The following is a 20930-nucleotide window of genomic DNA, read 5'->3' on the forward strand; positions in this document are numbered from 1 at the left end:
CAAGGTTGCAGAGAAAAAGGAACGCTCATACACTGATGATGGGATTGTAAATTAGTTCAGCCCCTATGTTAAGCAGTTTGGAGATTTCTCAAAGAACTAAAAATAGAATTACCATTTGACCCAGCAATTCCATTACCGGATATATACCCAAAGAAAAATAAATGGTTGTTCAACCAAAAAGACACCTGCACTCTCATGTTCATCATAGCACTATTCACAATAGGAAAGATATGGAATCAACCTTCAACAGTGGACTGGATAAAAAAAAAAAATGTGGAACATATACACCATGGAATACTATGCAGCATAAGAAGAATGAAATCACGTCCTTTGCAACGTGAATACAGCTGGAGGTCATTATCCTAACTGAATTAACACAGGAACAGAAAGCCAAATGCTGCATATTTTCACTTAAAAGTAGGAGCTAAACATTGGGTACACATGAACATAAAGATACGAACAATAAACACTGGGGACTTTAGAAGGGGGAAGCCAGGTGGCAAGGGTTGAAAAACTACCCACTGGATACTATGTTCACTATTTGGATAACAAGTTCAATTCGAAACCAAACCTCAGCATAGAGTGATATATTCATGTAACAAACCTGTACGTGGACTCCCTGAATCTATAATTTTAAAAAAAAAGCAGTATGACCAGTCCTTATTGAGATATGCTGTAAATATAAAATACACATGAGACTTCAAAGATGTAGTGTGAAAAAAAGAATCTAAAAATAGCTCATTTTTATATTGGTTACATGTTGAAATGATAATATTTTAGATATACTGAGTTAAAGAAAGTATATTATTAAAATTAATTTCAGACTGGGCACGGTGGCTCATGCCTATAATGGCAACACTTTGGGAGGCCAAGGTGGGCAGATCACCTGAGGTCAGGAGATCGACACCAGCCTGGCCAACATGGGAAAACCCCGTCTCTGCTAAAAATACAAAATTAGCCAGGCATGGTGGCATGCACCTGTAGTCCCAGCTACTCAGGAGGCTAAGGCAGGAGAATCGCTTAAACCTGGGAGGCAGAGGTTGCAGTGAGCAGAGATTGCACCATTGCACTCCAGTCTGGGTGACAAGAATGAAACTCCATCTCAAAAAAATTAATTAATTAATCAATTTCTTCTGTTTTTCACTTTTTTAAAATCTGGCTACTAGAAAATTTAAAATTACATATGTGTCCTACATTTGTGGTATCATATTTTTATTGGGGAGCACTAAAGTAAGACAATAAAGGAAACAAAGGGGACAAAGAAACACATCAAGAAACAAAGGGGAAAACTTTCCACTCCCTAGGCCCTGGAAGAGCCCAGAAACTTTCTGTGTTCACAAAAGAAACCTAATAATTCTCTGTTCTTCAATAACCCGACCTACAGCTTACTACCTCTGAACAAGAATTACAGGTTTATCTTAAAAGCACACTGATTTTTTACATCTTTATATATACCTAATATGCTTAGCCTAAACCTAAATTGTCATGAAAAAGGAAGAAAAAATAATAATGCTTTATTTTCTAATAGGAGATCTTCCTTTTTATTCAAAAGGAGACTTACTTCATGAGACTTTCTGCACCAAGCAGCTGTTCTTCCCAGTTAAGGACTCAAAAATTCCTGTTTCTCTCTTACATGATGGTTGACAATGTAAAAAATTAAACCAAATATAAAGGTGGCCTTTAGAAAGGCTTCTACTAAACAAGCAGTATTCCATGTTATTATGGCTCTGAGGCCTCTTATAAAAATTTTTAAAGGGTCATAACAGGTTTAAATTAATCCCATGGAAAGAATCTGACATTTTAAAAGGATCTGATGACTCAAAACATTCTTTTGGACTCTCCCAGCCTCTTCACTGGAAATGCACTCAGGACAGTCATACCAGTTGGGTTTCTTGTATGATGGCACAGATCAAGTACAAACTTGAAATGTGGAATAAGAAGAGTTATCATAGGTTCTCCTTGATCATCAAGTGTTTTGTTTTTGTTTGTTGAATTTTTTTGTTTTGGTTTGGTTGGGAAGGATGGTGGCATGTGTGTGTTTTACTTTTGCATTTGAGTGGAAGGGGTACTTAACAGCAAAACAATGACAGCCAAGTCTTCCAGTCCAGGAATTACCAGGAGCCTTATCAGAACCAGAAATTGCGTCTTTAGACAACGTTTATAGCCTCATAGAAGATACCAGGCTTCACTTTGTCAAGCTCTACTAAATTGGCCTGCCTGTCCCTACCACTGAGCAAAACATGAAAAAGCTAGAAACAGCAACACAAAGTCAAGAGCAGCCAGCCGCTCTAGGCAAGGAATTCTGATCTACTAAAGGTGAGTGTGGCACGCAGCCATAAGAAATGGGGTAGAATCAGTTTAAGCAAAAGAATCATCAGATAGTTGTATGATAGAGCACCCTAACTCCTTTGTGTAAAGCACTGTTGATAGTCAGGCCCAGATAACTCTTTTTTGGTTTGGTGGGTTGTTTTTTTTTTTTAACCCCAAACTCCTGGGCTCAAGTGATCCTCCTGCCTCTGCCTCCTGTGTAGCTGGGACTACAGGCACTTGCCACCAAGCCAAGCTAATCAGATAACTATTTATTGTGAGCAGCTCTTCTGTGAACTATAGAATATTTAGCAGCATCCCTGGCCTGTCTGCCACTAGATGCCAGTAGCAAGTCCTTACTCTTTCCCGCTTCAATCCTCTCTCAAGTGTCACAACCAGGTCTCTCCAGACATTGCCAAATTACCGCGCGCGCGTGTGTGTGTGCGTGTGTGTGGTGGGGGGAGGGGGAGGGGAGCAAAAGAACCCCTAGGTGAGAATCATTGGTAGAGAGCAAAAACACCAGAAACAGTTGTGACAGCAGCTAAATAAAGGCTGCTTACACTGTATCCAGTGTGACAAACTGTACTCAAGCTGTTAGTTTTGCACATGTGGCAAGACATATTTCTGACAAAATTTCTGATATTACTAAACATGAAGGATAACAATATAATGAAGTACTCTAGGAATATTAAACAGGTGAGCTTCAAATGACACAGGATTCTTAAATCACTGTGGAAGTGATGCTATCTGCCTCACTAACTAATTTAGCTTGTAAACTTTTAAAAATAAGATTAACCAGTAATGATGGTCAAGTATTCAGATGATGTTCCAACTCCTAAAGTCGGGTTACTTGTTCTTTTTAAAATTATAGCTTTAAATTTTAACTGTTTAAACTGTAGGAAGAAGGTATTCTCAAATACTCTACTAGAAATGTAAAACGCAACGTCTAAAGCAATTTAGCAGCACCTACCAAGGCTTTTATTTTTTACCCAGAATTCCACTTTTAAGAATGTATCCTATAGACATACTCCCCTATGTGAACACAGAGATATGTCTTAAGTAGCTCCCCACCAGCGTTGTTTACAACAGCAGTAAAATAAAAATGCTCCAGATGTTATCAATAAGAAAGTGGTCTTAAGTAAGTAACTACTTATTCATACCTTAGAAGACTGTACCGCCATTTATTTATTTATTTATTTATGAGACAGAGTCTCACTCTGTTGCCCAGGCTGGAGGGCAGTGACACATTCTCAGCTCACTACAACCTCTACCTCCTGGGTTTAAGCAATTCTCCTGCCTCAGCCTCCTGAGTAGCTGGGATTACAGGTGTGTACCACCACACTCGGCTAATTTTTTGTATTTTTAGTAGAGACAGAGTCTTACCAGGTTGGCCAGCCTGGTCTTGAACTCCTGACTTCAGGTGATCTGCCCCTATTAGCCTCCCAAAGTGCTGGGATTACAAGCGTGAGCCACCGCGCCCGGCTGTACAGCCATTTAAAAAAAAAAAAAAGACAACCAAAAAAAAATGACAAACTTTTCAGTAGGAAATGAAACATTCACAGAGGCCAACATGGTGGATCATGCCTGTAATCCCAGCATTTTGGGAGGCTGAGGTGGGTGGATTACTTGAGCTCACCAGTTCAAGACATGCCTGGACAACATGACAAAATCCCATCTCTACAAAAAATACAAAAACTAGCCAAGCATGGTGGTGCGTGCCTGTAGTTACCTAGCTACTTGGGAGGCTGAGATGGGAGGATGGCTTGAGCCCAGGGGGCGGAGGCTGCAATGAGCCAAGATCACGCCACTGCACACCAGGCTGAGCAATAGAGCCAGACCTTATCTCAAAAAACAAAAAGCAAAAACAAAAAGGCCAGGCATGGTGGCTCATGCCTGTAATCCCAGCATTTTGGAAGGCTGAGGCAGGCGGATCACTGGATGTCAGGAGTTGGAGACCAGCCTGGCTAACATGGTGAAACCCCGTATCTACTAAAAATACAAAAATTAGCTGGCCCAGAGGCATGCACCAGTAATCCCAGCTACTTGGGAGGCTGAGGCAGGACAATCACTTGAACCCGGGAGGAGGAGGTTGCAGTGAGCCAAGAACGCGCCACTGCACTCCAGCCTGGGTGACAGAGTGAGACTCTGTCTCAAAGACACACACACAAAAAAATTCATAAAAATATATATAGTGAGAGAGAAAGAGTACAGTACTATTTTTATAAAAATAAACATGTCTGGCCAGGCACGGTGGTTCACGCCTGAAATCCCAGCACTTTGGGAGGCTGAGACGGGCAGACCACTTGAGGTCAGGAGTTAAAGACCAGCCTGGCCAACATGGCAAAACCCCATCTCTACTAAAAATACAAAAAAAAAAAAAAAAATTAGCTGGGCAATGTGGTGACCTGTAATCCCAGCAACTAGGGAGGCTGAGGCAGGAGAACTGCTTGAACCCGGGAGGCAGAGGTTGCAGTGAGCTGAAATTGTGCCACTGCACTTCAGCCTGGGTGACAGTGCAAGGCTCCATTTAAAAAAATAAAGTAAAATAAACATGTCTACATATATGTATATGTAGACAAAAAAGTCTAAAAGAATATATACTAATTTCTTTTCTTTTTTTTTGGCAAGCATTTTTGGGGTTTTTTTGTTCATTTTTTCAAGAGAGGATCTCTCTCTGTAACCCAGGCTGGAGTGCAGTGGTGCAATCATGGCTCATTGCAGCCTCAACCTCCTGCGTGCAAATGATCCTCCTGCCTCAGCCTCCCAAGTAACTGAGAAAACAGGCATGTACCACCTTGCCCAGCTAGTTTCTTTGATTTTTGTAGAGACAAGGTTTCCCTATGTTGCCCGAGCTGGTCCCAACTCCTGGGCTCAAGCGATCCTCCCGCCTCAGCCTTTCATAAGCGCTGGGATTACAGGCGTGAGCCACCATGCCCAGCCAAGCATATGGTTAAGCCATCTACAGTATTTTTCAAGACCAAGACTTAAAAACAATTTGCACTGTTCATTTTACATATTAAGTGTTGAAGATTTTTTTTGTTAAATATCACTACTTCTATAAATCATGCTTTGTGGATTATTCTGCATCATACACTGGGATGTATTGGTGTTCACCGTTTATCCAGCAACATTATTCCAACACTGCTTGAGCCCTCAAGAGTGAGCCACTTGGCCAGGCACAGTGGCTCATGCCTGTAATCCCAGCACTTTGGGAGGCCAAGGCAGGCAGATCACCTGAGGTCAGCAGTTAGAGACCAGCCTGGCCAACATAGTAAAACCCTGTCTCTACAGGCTGAGGCACAAGAATCGCTTGAACCTGGGAGGCGGAGATTGCAATGAGCCAAGATCACGCCACTACACTCCAGCCCAGGCAACAGAGTAAGACTCTGTCTCAAAAAAAAAAAAAAAAGAGTGAGCCACTTAAGGCTTAATTAAATTTGCCAAACCAACCTCAAAGAGTTAAGAAACCTCATCCAGCTCGCCTCTTGAACCATAACCCATCAATAACTAAGAACATATACAGAGGGAAATAGTTCAATTTAGAACATTGTTTTAATAAGTGTTTACAAAGTGCTTAATAAACATGTAATTTATAGTTTAATTTAGCAGAATCTCATCATATGCAGTCAAATTTAAATGATTCTAATTTTCCTTTTCAATTTATTGATCTGAGTAATCAAAACTAATGGATGTGATTTTTCTTCTCCGACTTAAATCTTAAAAGAATAAGCAAAGAAGCCAAATGCCTGAAAGACTGACAGAAATAAAAATTAATAAAAATTAAAATCTCAATTCTAGATTTGGAATAACAAACTATTTTATCTGGGTACACAGTTTAAAAAAAAAAAAAGGTAGTTTTCCAAGAATTTTTCTGGTTCTAAAATACACAGGCAGAGACACACTTCAAATCAAAATGTCAGGCACTCACCATAATAGCTATGGCCTTTAAACCACCCCAGTACCCCTCCCCCTGCCCACAGCTCTAGCCAGTTTAACTGCTTTTAAATGGAACATTCTAAATTGCTAAAAATAAACTATCTCTATTTCCTCCTGCTTAAGTTTTCCCATTTTCCCATGACATTTTAACCTTTATTCAGGCAGTTATGATCACAAACATGCAATACCTATATGATACCATTTCTAACCATTTTATATACAGATGCATAAACGTATGACAGTATTTCCTTTCCCTTCAAAAAACAACATGGCAAAATAACTTGCAAGATCTCTAGCCAATTAAGAACCCTGGATCTGAAGACTGACTCCGTGGGATTTCATAAAACTTGGCTCCCCATCAAAAGGCCACAATTACTCTTTCTTGACTACAAGCATCATCTCTGGATTATCCACACCTCTTCCATCTCCAAAGATAACTAAAAAAATACAGGGTAACTAAATGAGTATAAAAACACATGAACCTGGCCAGGTGCAGTGGCTCCCCCCTGTAATTCTAGCACTTTGGGAGGCAGAGGTGGATCACCTGAGGTCAGGAGTTCGAGACCAGCCTGGTCAACATGGTGAAACCCGTCTCTACAAAAAACACAAAAATTAGCCGGACATGGTGGCACATGCCTGTAATCCCAGCTATTCAGGAGGCTGAGGCAGGAGAATCGCTTGAAACTGGGAGGCAGAGGTTGCAGTGAGCCAAGACTGTACCAGTGTGCTCCAGCCTGGGCGACAGAGGGAGACTCCATCTCAAAAAAACAAACAAACAAACAAAAAAAAACAAACACAAAAAACACATGAACCTGCTCAAGGTTTATGCAGAAAGTGGAAAGGTAAATCAATGATTAATGCAAGATGTCATACAACATCCTCCTTTAATGGCCAGAAGCATACTCACGTTAGTGGCATCACCTGGCATCACACTTCTCTACTGTTCAATATTTCTATTATAATATCAATAAATCTCATTTTCTTATTCACTTAGAATAATACATTTGGTATGTGGTGAACTTCTGGCAATAACTGAATTTAGTTCCTACAGCTTATGTCTTATTTTGAGCATGATGTCAATTCAGTCAACAAAACTAACCATCTTATCAGAAATGAACTTAATATCTCTTCTTTGTAATTTAGAGAGCTTTTTCAGGTAGTATCAACCAAGTCTTGAGGGATTTTTAAAATGTTTGTTTTTTTCTTGAGACTTAAGGTCCTAAAGACAAACAGTGTGGTTTTTATTCAGTGAAAAAGCAAAGATTGCTTAAATTCTCTAAGTTCTACTTACAAAAGAAACTACAAAATATATGCATGCTTTTAAACAAATGTATACTATCAGGTTGACCTCTCTGTCCACTTCACTAACCTCTTGACATCATTTCTTTTCTTTTCTTTTTTTCTTTTTAAGTCTACATCATGCTTTGCTTGACATGGTTTTAGAAAAGGATGTTTTTCAAGTTTTGTGTGTATGAACCTTTGGAATGTTTTTAAGTGTCTTGGATCTTCATTAATATCACTAAAGAAAATACAATAACAAAACATTTTTATGAATTCAGGAAGTACTTTTAAGTAATTTTTTTTTTTCCCAGACAGGGTCTCACTCTGTCACCCAGGCTGGAGCGAGATGGCACAAACATGGCTTACTGCAGCCGCGACTTCCCCAAGCTCAAGTAATCCTCCCACCTTGGCTTAACAAAGTGCTAGGATCACAGGCATGAACCACTGATCCAGCCTTAAATAATTCTTCATTAGTCACAAATCCCTATATACATCTGAAAACACCAGTACAAATCAGTCTGCAGATAGGGGTTCATTTGGATAATCAAATCCCTTATAACAACTTCATATACCTCTCCAGCATTCGTGGCCCAAAATTAGAAACCACTGGCAGAGACTATGAAATATAAAACTGCCTAGTTACAAGCAGAATGGCTCTTTAAAGTAAATATTAGGAATCGTAAGTGAAAATTTATTGTGTGTCAGGTACCAATGTTTTCCCACTATAAAACTGTATTTCCAAATTTAAAATCAAAATTAGTCATGAAAATCATTTATATATGCACGTTTACTTCATCACAGGCAATTTTTAAGAAATGCAGCTACTCATAAAAAGGCCCCAGGACATACTGGAACACAGAATGTGCCAGCTTCCATTTCCACCACCAAAGAGAGAAGGTTGGTTTTGGTTTGAGCTCCACTACCCAACCAGAGTATCTGTAACTAAAACCTTAATACAATTTTGAACATATCACAGGTCAGAGCTGCCTAAAAGAGAGAAAAATATATATGACAGCAGAAATGTAAAAATACAAATCATAAAATAGCCACCTCACTGTGAAACTAGAAGGGCTATGGCAGTAATAAGGATGAGAAAAAGAGCAGCAAAAACACAAATTTAGAGATTTCTCTAAATTAATCAATATTTGGTAGTATCTTGTTATTATGAGAAATAAGGCTGGGTGCAGGGGCTCACACCTGTAATCCCAGCACTTTGGGAGGCCGAGGTGGGTGGATCACCTGAAGTCAGGAGTTCGAGACCAGCCTGGCCAACACGGCAAAACCCGTCTCTACTAAAAATGCAAAAATTAGCCAGGCGTGGTGGCACTGCGTGCCTGTAATCACGGCTACTCGGGAGGCTGAAGCAGGAGAATCACTTGGACCTGGGAGGCAGAGGTTGTACTGAGCTGAGATCGCACCACTGCACTCCAGCCTGGAAGAGAGACTGGGATTCTATCTCAGAAAAAAAAAAAAAAGAAAGAAACCAAGGAATTTTTGCTCTGGATAAGCCCCAAGAGACCATCTATTCTAGTCCAGTTGTCTCATTTTACAGATGAGGAAACTGGCCCAAAGAACTTAAGTGGCTTGCTCCGGGTCATTCAGCTGACTGGTAGCAAGTCCTGATCCCAGATCTTCTGGTTCCTAGCCCAATATCTCCAGTTTTTTGTCTGGTATTTCACAATCCCTCTGCCACATCCTAATCTGGATTTGACTCATTATTTATGCTGAAAATTATTTGGACAATGTGTAACTATTGTAAACAGGTATTTCTCAAGCTTCATTTAACTATCCTGCACATCACTCAAATTAAACCTCAGCAGTTTTCCCATCTATAGAGGGGGTGGTGATGGGTATGTTTTGGGCACTATGAATTTTTCTTATAGGAACATATTGTCTCCCCTTTGATATTGAAAGTCTATGAGAAATAAATGTGTTTTTAAAAAATTAGTTTCAAAAGCAACTTTTCTTGAAATTCACTTTAATGAAAGTAAAACTTGGTTTTCAGAAACCGACGCCCTAGATTTATTTTGACTTTAACTAAATCAGATGGGTACATCACCTCTCATTCAAATAAATACACCAAGGTGCCAAATGAAGATGCATACTTACAATGCCAAATGCTGCAGTTCTTTTTACCAGCTAAGTCTTTGTGACAGGAAATCGTTTACATTGACTAAATTCTAAACTCAGGATTTAGGACAAAATAATAAAACTGATATGAATAATTGTTACATACTTGTATGGTTAACTGGTAATGACACAGAAACAGTAAATACCAATATGGAAGACCATAAATGAACCAATTAGAAATATGACAGATCCCTGGGTGGGCACAGCGGGCTTTGGGAGGCCACGGCAAGAGGATCTCTTGAGGCCAAGAGTTTGAGACAATAGAGCAACATAGATAGGCAATATAGCAAGACTGCCGTCTCTACAAGAAAATTTTTAAAAATTGCCAGGCATGGTGGTGCATCTGTGGTCCCAACTACTCAGGAGGCTGAGGCAGGAGGATCTCTCGAGCCTGGGATTTTAAGGTGGCAGCAAGCTATGATTGCACCACTACACAATCAGCCTGGGTGACAGAGTGAGACCGCATCTCTAAAAAAAAAAAGAAAAAGAAAAACTATGACATCCTAGCGTAACAGCAGCTAAAATTTATAGAGTACAAATTGGAGCCAAGTGCTTTCCACATGTTAACTCATTTAATTCTTACAACTCTACATCTACATACTATTATTATCTCCCACTTTACAAATCAGGAGACCAAGGTAGAGACAAATTAAATGACAAGTCCACAGTCAGACACTTGTAAGAGGGAGAGCCAGGATCTGCATAGAAAATGTTAATAAGGGCCGGGCGCAGTGGCTCATGCCTGTAATCCCAGCACTTTGGGAGGCCGAGGCGGGCAGATCACCAGGTCAGGAGATCGAGACTATCCTGGCTAACACAGTGAAACTCCATCTCTACTAAAAGAAATACAAAAAAAAATTAGCCGGGCGTGGTGGCGAGCGCCTGTAGTCCCAGCTACTCAAGAGGCTGAGGCAGGAGAATGGCGTGAACCCGGGAGGCGGAGCTTGCAGTGAGCCGATACAGTGCCACTGCACTCCAGCCTGGGCGACAGAGCAAGACTCCGTCTCAAAAAAAAAAAAAAAAGAAAATGTTAATAAGATATAATGATGGTGGAAATTTTACATCAAATGTCCAGAATAGGCAAATCCAGAGATACATACATAAAGTAGATTAGTGATTAAAGTAGATTAGTGATTGCCTGCAGCTGGAGAGAGAAGGTAGCGAGAGGAATGAGGAGTGACTGCTAATGGGCACAGAATTTCATTCTGAGGTGATAAAAATGTTCTAAAAATAGATTGTGGTGATGGTTATACAACTCTGTGAACATACTAAAAACTAATGAATTGCACACTTTAGATGAGTGAACTGTATAGTACGTGAATTATGTCTCAATAAAGCTGTTAAAAAATATGGTGGTGACATATATTCAAAACGGAACCATACTCAGCAATAAAAAGTGGAAAAGACAGTTAGTTGCCAGTATTAGGGGAAGCAATCTGAGTTCTCTATTTTTGCTACTTTGTCTAAAATTATTTCCAAATAAAAATTAGAGTTTTGTTAATTTTTTATTTTTTTGAGACACGGTTTTATTCTGTCAGCCTGGCTGGAGTGCAGTGGCGAGATCTCAGCTCACTGCAGCCTCCACCTCCAAGGTTCAAGCAATTCTTCTGTCTCGGCCTCCCGAGTAGCTGGGATTATAGGCACGCACCATCACGCCCAGCTAATTTTTGTATTTTTAGTTGAGATGCGGTTTCACCATGTAGGCCAAGCTGGTCTCAAATTTCTGGCCTCAAGTGATCCACCTGCCCTGGTCTCCCAAAGTGGTGGGATTACAGATGTGAGCCACTGCACCCAGCTGGAAGTTGTTTTTTTAAATGGAACCATCTACATAGCATGAAGCAGAGGGCACCAGACTTAGAGGCAGGAGGTGCTGCCCGGCCTCCTGACACCCCTAACTTCCCTTCTCGAAGTCCTGAGGGTGACAAGATTCATCCTGCTCAACACCTCACTTGCCATGAGGACCCCACAGAAGGTGGCATAATGAAAACACTCCCACTTGCCAGGATGCAGTGGCTCACGCCTGTAATCCCAGAACTTTAGGAGGCCGAGGCAGGCAAATCATGAGGTCAGGAGTTCGACACCAGCCTGGTGAAACCCCATCTCTATTAAAAATACAAAAATTAGCCAGGCATGGTGGTGTGTGCCTCTAATCCCAGCTACTCGGGAGACTGAGGCAGGAGAATTGCTTGAACCTGGGAAGCAGAGGTTGCAGTGAGCTGAGATCATGCCACTGCACTCAAGTCTGGGTGACAGAGCAAGACTCCATCTCAAAAAAATAAAAAAGAAAAAGAAAACACTCCCACCACAATACCCAAATGCCATCTATAGGAAGGATAAATATTACCATGTTGAAATTTTATAAAATTTTATAAAAGCAAATCTACCAGTAGAAAACTATCAGAAAAAGGTGTCTGAAAGCTCATGAAATATAGTAATAGTCAATAACTAGGCCGGGTGCAATGGCTTACACTTGTAATCCCAGCACTTTGCGAGGCCAAGGCAGGAAAATCACTTGTGCCCAGGAGTTTGAGACCAGCCTGGGCAACATAGCAAGAAACCTCATCTCAGAAACAAAAATACAAAGACAGAGGACTAGCACATTAATATTATGCACTGCACAACCTCTGAAGTTGCACATGGGAACCTTGAAAGATAACCAGTAAAGCAGTGCAATATACAGGAATGGTCCAATGAGCAATACAGACCATAAATAAAAAATTACATACTATAAGAGCCAAACAGGGAAAGTTAGCCATTTTTTTTTTAACTACTGTATGTACAGAGGGATTTTGGGAAAGGCATCATCAGAGTGAGCTAGACTAGACAAAGCTTCTTGGGAAGGCCTCCTCTTGAGCTGAGCCCTAAGGAGACAGAAGACGAATTTCCATCTTAGGAGGAATGAATAGAGCAAAGGCACTGAGGCCATTGAAGAACGTGGGGTGTGGAGTGACAGGCAGGAACAGGCCTCTATGTAGAGGTTAGAAACAAGCACTATGACACTGCCAAAGCAATATCCAGTCTGCTCAAAAAGCATTTGAACCACCTGGACTGCATATCCCCCAGGTAAAAGATAGCAAATCAACAACTCCAACCAATTTCTCAGGTGATTCCTATGCCCACTGAAGTCTGAAAACAACTGTTCCAGAGCAAAGGAGGTAACATAAGGCAAGCAGTAAGGGCAAAAAACACCACATTTATATCACATGTTAACACTGCAAGGAAGACAGTTGTTTTAGATGTTCTGTTTCAATACTCCCTACTATTATCCTTCCCCAAAAGCACTTTAATTTACTATATAGTTTAATGAATTTCACATCTGAAAATCATTAATAACCTGTCTTCTCTTAGGTATACTGAAACTACCAGAATTGCATGGGGGCCTTGAAAGCCCTTATTTAAGAGGTTCCGATGGCAAGATGTGAGGAAAACCATTTGGAAAAAATCCCAATCAGTATGCCTCCCTGCCCCAAAATATGCTTTACTAAGAAGGGCAGAACCCTGGTTTTAAAAGCAAAGCAAACAAAACAAAAACTCTTTCAAGTTCTGATTAAGCATGCAGTCCCAAAATCACACGCCAGTGTCCTCTGAGTGCAAAATTTGAATACATCACTTCATTATTCAGAAATGAAATAGATTAAAAGAGCTAGGGAATATGAGAAGTTTTGAATCACTCTCTAAACTACTTCCAAATTTTTCTTCCCAATCAAGAATCAGGCACAGGTATAGATTATTTCCACCGTAACACCTGAGTAGCCACTTGCCCAAGACCTGTACGTATTGTATAGATTATAAATTTCAAAGTTCCAAATACCTCTCACATTTTCTTGGCAAGCAAAACTTTTCTTGGCAATCAAAAAAAAAGCAAAAACAAAAACAAAAAAAACCCACCCAAGAAGTCAATTGGCCAGGCACGGTGGCTCACACCTGTAATCCCAGCACTTTGGGAGGCCAAGGCAGGAGGATCACTTCAGGTCAGGAGTTCAAGACCAGCCTGGCAAACATGGCAAAACCCCATCTCTACTAAAAATACAAATATTAGCCAGGCGTGGTGGCTCACGCCTATAGTCCCAGCTACTTGGGAGGCTGAGGCAGGAAAATGGCTTGAACCTAGGAGGCGGAGGTTGCAGTGAGCTGAGATCTCACCACTGTACTCCAGCCTCGGCGACAGAGTGAGACTCCACCTCAAAAAAAGAGGAAAAAGAAGTCAATCAAGTACTGCTTGAGAAACTATTTACTCATCGTATTAGATGTTTGGGGGAATGAGATACAAAAAACAAGGCTTACAGTCTAACTGGGGAGAGAAAACCTATACCCATGAAAAGCAATGGCCTGTAGAATGCAAGTGCCTTACACGTCTTAGTCACCCTTTACCCCCAGGGCATAGCATAAAATATGTGTTCAGTAAACACTGTTAAAAAAAAAATGCTGTCTTGGTCATCTTTGTCACTCCAGCATCTAGCCAAGTTCCTAATGCAATGTTTGCTGAATGAATGAATGATACCATGCTGTTCACATAAATATGTCTTGCATGACTTAGGTTAAGAAGATGGGGATCATTAAGGACTAAAGTAATCAAGAAAGATTTCATTGGGAAGACAAAGTTTTGAGTTATGAAATCTTAGAGCTGAAAGAAATCTTAAAGTATTACTAAGACCGGCCGGGCGTGGTGGCTCATGTCTGTAATCCCAGTACTTTGGGAGGCCGAGACAGGCGGATCATTTGAGGTCAGGAGTTCCAGACCAGCCTGGCCAACATGGTGAAACCCTGCCTCTACTAAAAATACAAAAATTAGCCGGACATGTTTGCTTGAACCCCAGCAGCCGAGGCTGCAATGACCCAAGATCATGCCACTGCACTCCAGCCTGGAGGAAAGAGTGAGACTCTGTCAAATAAATAAATAAATACTAAGACCATCTAATCTGGTAGCTCCAAAAGAAGTTTCCAAAGATGCCAAAAGCAGCTTTACACCTCTAAGGTTAAGAAGATAATTAACCTTGGTAATGACCACTTTAAAATTGAAGAAATCCCATAAACACCATGGTCATTACGATACATTAATAATGACAACCTGCTCACACACTGAACACTTCGCCATTCACTCTGCTCTCCCCACCCCTTCTCCACACTAAGAAGCCCATGCAAGGAGGCTGAGTTCTTCAAGCTCGTCTGCCTCCAAGCAGTCCTTGATAAAGTATGGACTGCAAGCTGGAGAATCACAGCCTTCTGCACACACTCTACAATCTGAATCTAAGCTGGTTCATAAAAATTGAAGACCAACAATCTGGACCAGCTGCATCCCCTCTCACTTGACAGAGTTCCACAGAGAAATCCATGCATTCATTCAGGCAACATTCAGTGACCGTCACATACTACCCTATTACCCACACCAGAAACTCAGTTAGGAACATAGTAGACACAGCACCTGCCTCCCAAGGTATCACTGGGTGAGGGAGAAAATACTACAAATAAATTACAAAGCAATGTGGGGAGTATTATAATCAATATGAAAAAATATATACACCCTAGGTATCCAAGAGACAAAATCACAACGTTGTGTAAAGTCAGGCAAGGCTTTCAATAAAAGGTAGTGTTTCTTTCATTCATTCTTTGACAAATATTTTCTGAGCATGTAAATATTTGCATGCTTCAAAGGGCACCATCAAGAAAAGGCAACCCACTAAATGGGAGAAAATATTTGCAAATCATATATTTGATAAGGGACTTATACCCAGAATATAAAAAGAATTCTTCACCTTAATAACAAAAAGATTGGCCGGGCGCAGTGGCTCAAGCCTGTAATCCTAGCACTTTGGGAGGCCGCGGCGGGTGGATCACAAGGTCAGGAGATGGAGACCATCCTGGCTAACATGCTGAAACCCCGTCTCTACTAAAAATACAAAAAAATTAGCCGGGCATGGTGGCGGGCGCCTGTAGTCCCAGCTACTCAGGAGGCTGAGGCAGGAGAATGGCGTGAACCCGGGAGGCGGACCTTGCAGTGAGCCGAGACTGCGCCACTGCACTCCAGCCTGGGCGACAGAGCAAGACTCCGTCTCAAAAAAGAAAAAAGTAATAATAATAATAACAAAAAGATAATCCAAAAGTAGGCAAAGGATTTGAATAGACATTTCTCCAAAGAAGATACACAAATGGCCAGTAAGAACATGCAAAGATGTTCAACATCATCAGCCATCCAGGAAATGCAAATCACACCCAATAAGATGACTATCATCAAAAAGAGAGAAAATAATACGTGTTGGCAAAGATGTAGAGAAATTAAATCCCTCATACCTTCCTGGTGGGGATATAAAATGGTGGAGCTGCTGTGGAAAACAGTTTGGCAATATCTCAGAAAGTTAAAACAGAGTTACCAAATGACCCAGCAATCCCACTCCCAGGTATAATATTTACCCAAGGTAACTGAAAGTATGTCCACTAAAATTGTACATGAATGTTCATAACAGCATTATCCATAATAGCCAAAAAGCAGAAACAACCCAAATGTTCATCAACTGATAAATGGATTTTTAAAATGTGGCACAATGGAATATTATTCAGCCACAAAAAGGAATGAAGTGCTGACACATGCGACAACATGGAGGAACCTTGAGAATCTGGCCTCAAGTGATCCCCTACCTCAGCCTCCCAAAGTGCTGAGGTTACAGGTGTGAGCCACGGTGCCCAGCCTGGGACAAGAGTATTAAATGCACCCATTACCTCCTATCCCAGGCCACTGCTGCAGGGGGCACAAGGGAGGATCTCAGTAGCCTGGGTAAGTAGTGAGCACTAAAGGACCATCAGTGGGCCTTCAAAAACTCACAAGTTGCCTTACAGAAAGGATATGGGGCCTTAAAGGCCTAGAAGCAGCAGTGAGGGAATACCAACTGCCTACCTGCTGTGAGTACAAGGCCCCTTCTAAAGACCTCTCTCTTTCCTGGCATCCAACTACCATAACTGTTAATTACCTTGCTCCTGGATTAATCTCAGAAGGGCAGTGTGGGTTCCTTTTAGAAGCCATGAGATAAACATGGCACTTCTCCCTTGGTACGATTAACTTTACTAAAAATACCAGCGTTTAGAACGAAAAGAAACAAATAGATTATGAAATGCAAAAATCTCTGAATTTTTAAAGTAAAAAAAAAAAACAAGACTTAAAAATAACTGCAGCAAGGGTAATTCTCTTTTTTTTTTTTTTTTTTTTTTGAGACGGAGTCTTGTTCTGTCGCCCAGGCTGGAGTGCAGTGGTGTGATCTCAGCTCACTGCAAGCTCCGCCTCCCAGGTTCACACCATTCTCCTGCCTCAGCCTGCCAAGTAGCTGGGACTACAGGCGCCCGCCACCACTCGGCCAATTTTTTGTATTTTTTAGTAGAGACGGGGTTTCACCATGTTAGCCAGGATGGTCTCCATCTCCTGACCTTGTGATCCGCCCACCTCGGCCTCCCAAAGTGCTGGGATTACAGGCGTGAGCCACCGCAACCGGCCCCAGCAAGGGTAATTCTCTTATGCCTAGGGGCACTTGATTAGATAAGTTTGAGAAGCCTGACCCTAGGGATTTATCATAAACCCACAGAACTCTTTTCTTCCGGAGCCTCAGTTTGTATGAGTCCCCTTTGTAGAGATCCAGCTTGAGTGGCACCTAATGCCTTTGGGATCCAATGTAATAGCCTGATCCAAGCCCATAAACCCTCACTCCACCCTCCTTCCCACCCCCACACACACTTCTACACACACGAGTGTTCTCTTCCAGCCCCTGCAGCTCTCAGGCCTTCATTACCAAGTGTGTGCTCTTCCCTCCTCGCACACCTCACACACCTCTTTGGAGCCACTATGCACACAAATGCTTTCCTCTCTAAACCACGCGGCTCACTTGTTTACCCCAATGCTATGGCAACCCCCTCCCTCTGCCTGTCACTCTTTGTTCTGTCACTCTCACAAAACAACTGCATATATTCGCTAGTTTCATAGGGACCACAATGGCACATAAAACTGTGTCCTGGGTGCCCATTTAAGCCCTTCTGGTATCATTTTCCTGAATTCTTCAGAAAATATGCCTTCTATATATATTAGCTAACATTTCCTGAGCATCTACAATAAGCCTTTTCCATATATCACTGCATTGAATCCTTACAACTCTAAGGTATGAGCCCTCTCAATATTCCCCTTTTTACCACCAAGGAAACTGAGGCATAGAGAGATTAAATAACTTAATCTAAGATCACTCCAACAGTAAATGGCAAAACTGGACTGAAGTCCTAGCTTGTCTTCCCCAAAAGGGGATGTTCTTAACCCTTCCTCTCGTAAGAAGCCAGAGTCCAGAAGAGACCCACAATCCTGACTGTCATTATCAGCACCCTCTTTCCACTAAATATTTAAAGCTCTCTCTTGCTTTGCTTTCCAGCTTTCTAATTCAACCAGCTTTGGGGCAGCAAAACATAAATTTCCACTTCTGGAATGGGAGACATCTCCAGTGAAAGTTACCTTAAGGTCCAGAAGAAGCCAGGCAGAGAAATCACATGTCTCAGCTTTTCCACTGCAAAATTTCTATTTTATACTTGAAGAATATGATTCTAATCAAGTACAAGTTAATCTGCACCTGAACATCTTCAGGTCCATTAATATAAAATCAGTAACTTTTTCAAATCAAAGGTTTCAAGAAATTAGATTTATCTGGTTCTTTAGCCTTCAAAGTCTGAGTCAAATAACTCTTACACAGACTTTGCTGCTTAAAATCCTTCACTTCTTCTCTAGGCCTGTGTAGACTGCAAATATTTCCATTACAGTTGCTTTTGGGACTCATACCCCAGTTGTATCTTAGTCTATGACATGCGCTATAATTTAAAAATCATAGAATTACCTTTATTTTAAAATATCCTTTTTTTTTTTTTTTTTTTTTTTTTGAAACAGGGTCTTGCTCTATCACCCAGGCTGGAGTGCAGTGGCGCGATCTCAGCTCACTGCAACTTCTGCCTCCAGGTTCAAGCGATTCTCGTGCCTTGGCCTCCCAAGTAGCTGGGATTACAGATACGCACCACCACACCCAGCTAATTTTTGTATTTTTAGTAGAGAAGGGGTTTTGCCATGTTGGCCAGGCTGGTTTCGAACTCCTGACCTCAAGTGATCCACCCGCCTTGGCCTCCCAAAGTGCTGGGATTACAGGCCTCGTGAGTCGCTGTGCCAGGCCTAATTTTAAATATTCTGTGCATCAGATATTTCACTAAACCAGACTGCCCCTCCTCCTACTCATTCTCATCTCATCTCATTATTCCAAATGTTAGAGGTTTGACTATATGTTACAAACACACACCTGCAAATGGAGTCAATGCCTGTGGACTAACAGAACCCATATTCAAAGCCTGAGAATCAGCTATGGGAAAGCCATCTGAGAGACAAATTATACTTGAAGGACAGCAACTCTATCCCTGAGTTAGCTAACGCTCAGCAGAAGTCTGGCCCACTGGGACCTAAGCAATTTGGTACGTAGATCTGAGTATAATAAGGTTTGGGAGCTTGCAGGAATTTCAAGAGTACACAAAGAAGGCATCAACACCACTACCTGAGCATCCATGCCTAAGTAAAAAGTGTTTGCTCCATGTGCCACCCTCTTCAAAAAAACAAACATATGAATACTCATATTTATGTAAACCATAAGCATACAATGATTATATATTTAAATCCATGAAGATGGGTATTTATAAAGAAAAATGACCATAAAGTCATCAAATTAAAATTCTGTTGGCAAAAAGGGATAGGATGAAACTTTCCTTAAATATCACAACACCGGTCCAGCTGAGCATCAACGAATAGGAGAAAACCAGCTGCCTCCAGCCCAACAACAATGGGACACAGACCTCACCTCACTTCTAGGGAAGAGCCACCACTAAGACCAGGTGATGAATGTCACTGGACAGTGATTCTGCTGAGGCTTAGGTGGCATACACCCTGCACCAGGCACTGTTCTAGGCACTGGGGATAAACAGCAAACAAAATACTCAAGGTCACTGCCCTCATGGAGCATGCAGTCTAACTGAAGGGGATAGAAAATAAACAACTGTCAAGTGGTGATAAGTGCTAAGGAATAAAATACAGCAAGCCAGAGACTGGTAAGCAAGAATGTTATTTTATGTAGTGTATCATTGACAGCCTCTCTGAGAAGGTGACATATAAACAGAGACCTTAAAGAAGTAAAGAAAGGAGACACGCTGAGTATCCGGTAGAGAAAACCACAAATGCAAAGCCCTACGGCCTGTTAGTGTGTTTGAGAAACAGCAAGGAGGGAGTGTGGCTAAAAGCAGTGAGTTAAGATGAGGTCAAAGAAAGAGCCACATCATGTAAAGTTTTGTAACCTCAGAAAGTAATCTAAATTTTATTCTGAATGAAATGAGAAGCCAGTGGAAGGTTTTGAACAGAGGAGTGACATAATCCGACTTCTGTTTTTAAAAGCTTGCTCTGGCTGCTGTGTAGAACACACGTGAAAAGGTGGAAGCAGCAGGGAACCTGTTGGGAGGCAAAAGATGATAGTGGTTTGGACTAGGAAGTAGCAAAGGAGGCAGAGAAGATAGTGAGAAGTGGTTGGATTCTAGACATATTTCAAAATAAAGACAGTATCCATTGAACCAAGGTGAGAAGTCCCAAGTACATTTATGGCAGATTGCAGAAATGGCCACAAATTCTTTCCCTCCTTGTGTTCATGCCACTGCAGTATAATTTTATAGCTCCTCCCACAAAGAGGTAGTCTTTCTCCATCCTTGGAATTTTAGCTGGACTTGTAACTCACTTTGGCCAATGGGACAATAGCAAACATGATGCAGAGATTTCAAAAGTTGTTAAGCATTTGCATTTGCCCTCTCTTACTGCTTTAGAGAACCCCAGAAGCCACCAAGTGGAGAACCCCAGGCTTTAGAGAACCCCACAAGCCACCATGTGGAGAAGCCCAGGCTAACCTGCTGGATGATGAGACTCACAAAGCCCAGGCATCCCTGTAGCCCTTGCCAACCGTCATGTATGTGAGTGAGACTATCCATCTGACGGGATGTTCATGAGTGAGCTCAGAGGAGAAGAGAACCATCACATAGCTGAGCCCAGCTTAAATTGCCAAACCACAAAATGGTGAACTAAATAAATGCCTGTTGTTTTAAGCCACCAAGTTTTGGAGTGGTTTGTTGAGCAGCAAAAGCTGATTCAAAATCTATTTATCCCCCAAATCGAATGCAAGCCACCTAACAGCATTATATAAAAGGCAAAATTTCAATTCTAAAGTAAACTGACATAGAATGGGTAT

General features: G+C 41.4%; 1 protein-coding gene across 10 annotated transcripts in view; it reads right to left on the reverse strand.

The window, feature by feature from the left end:
• Positions 1-20930, reverse strand: part of PPP2R5E (protein phosphatase 2 regulatory subunit B'epsilon) — a 172014-nt gene that overhangs the window by 119380 nt on the left and 31704 nt on the right. Inside the window, exon 1 of one of the 10 annotated variants that reach the window (XM_047431544.1) lies at positions 17465-17495. The exons of 7 other annotated variants lie outside the window; for them this stretch is intronic. The gene's annotated coding sequence lies outside the window, so the exon portion shown is untranslated. Of the gene's footprint in view, positions 1-17381; positions 17496-20930 lie in introns of those variants that run through there. 2 more of the 10 variants (NM_001282182.3, NM_001282181.3) reach the window with 2 other exon arrangements.

The sequence above is a fragment of the Homo sapiens genome, chromosome 14, assembly GCF_000001405.40.
Source record: "Homo sapiens chromosome 14, GRCh38.p14 Primary Assembly".
Taxonomy (NCBI): Eukaryota; Metazoa; Chordata; class Mammalia; order Primates; family Hominidae; genus Homo; species Homo sapiens.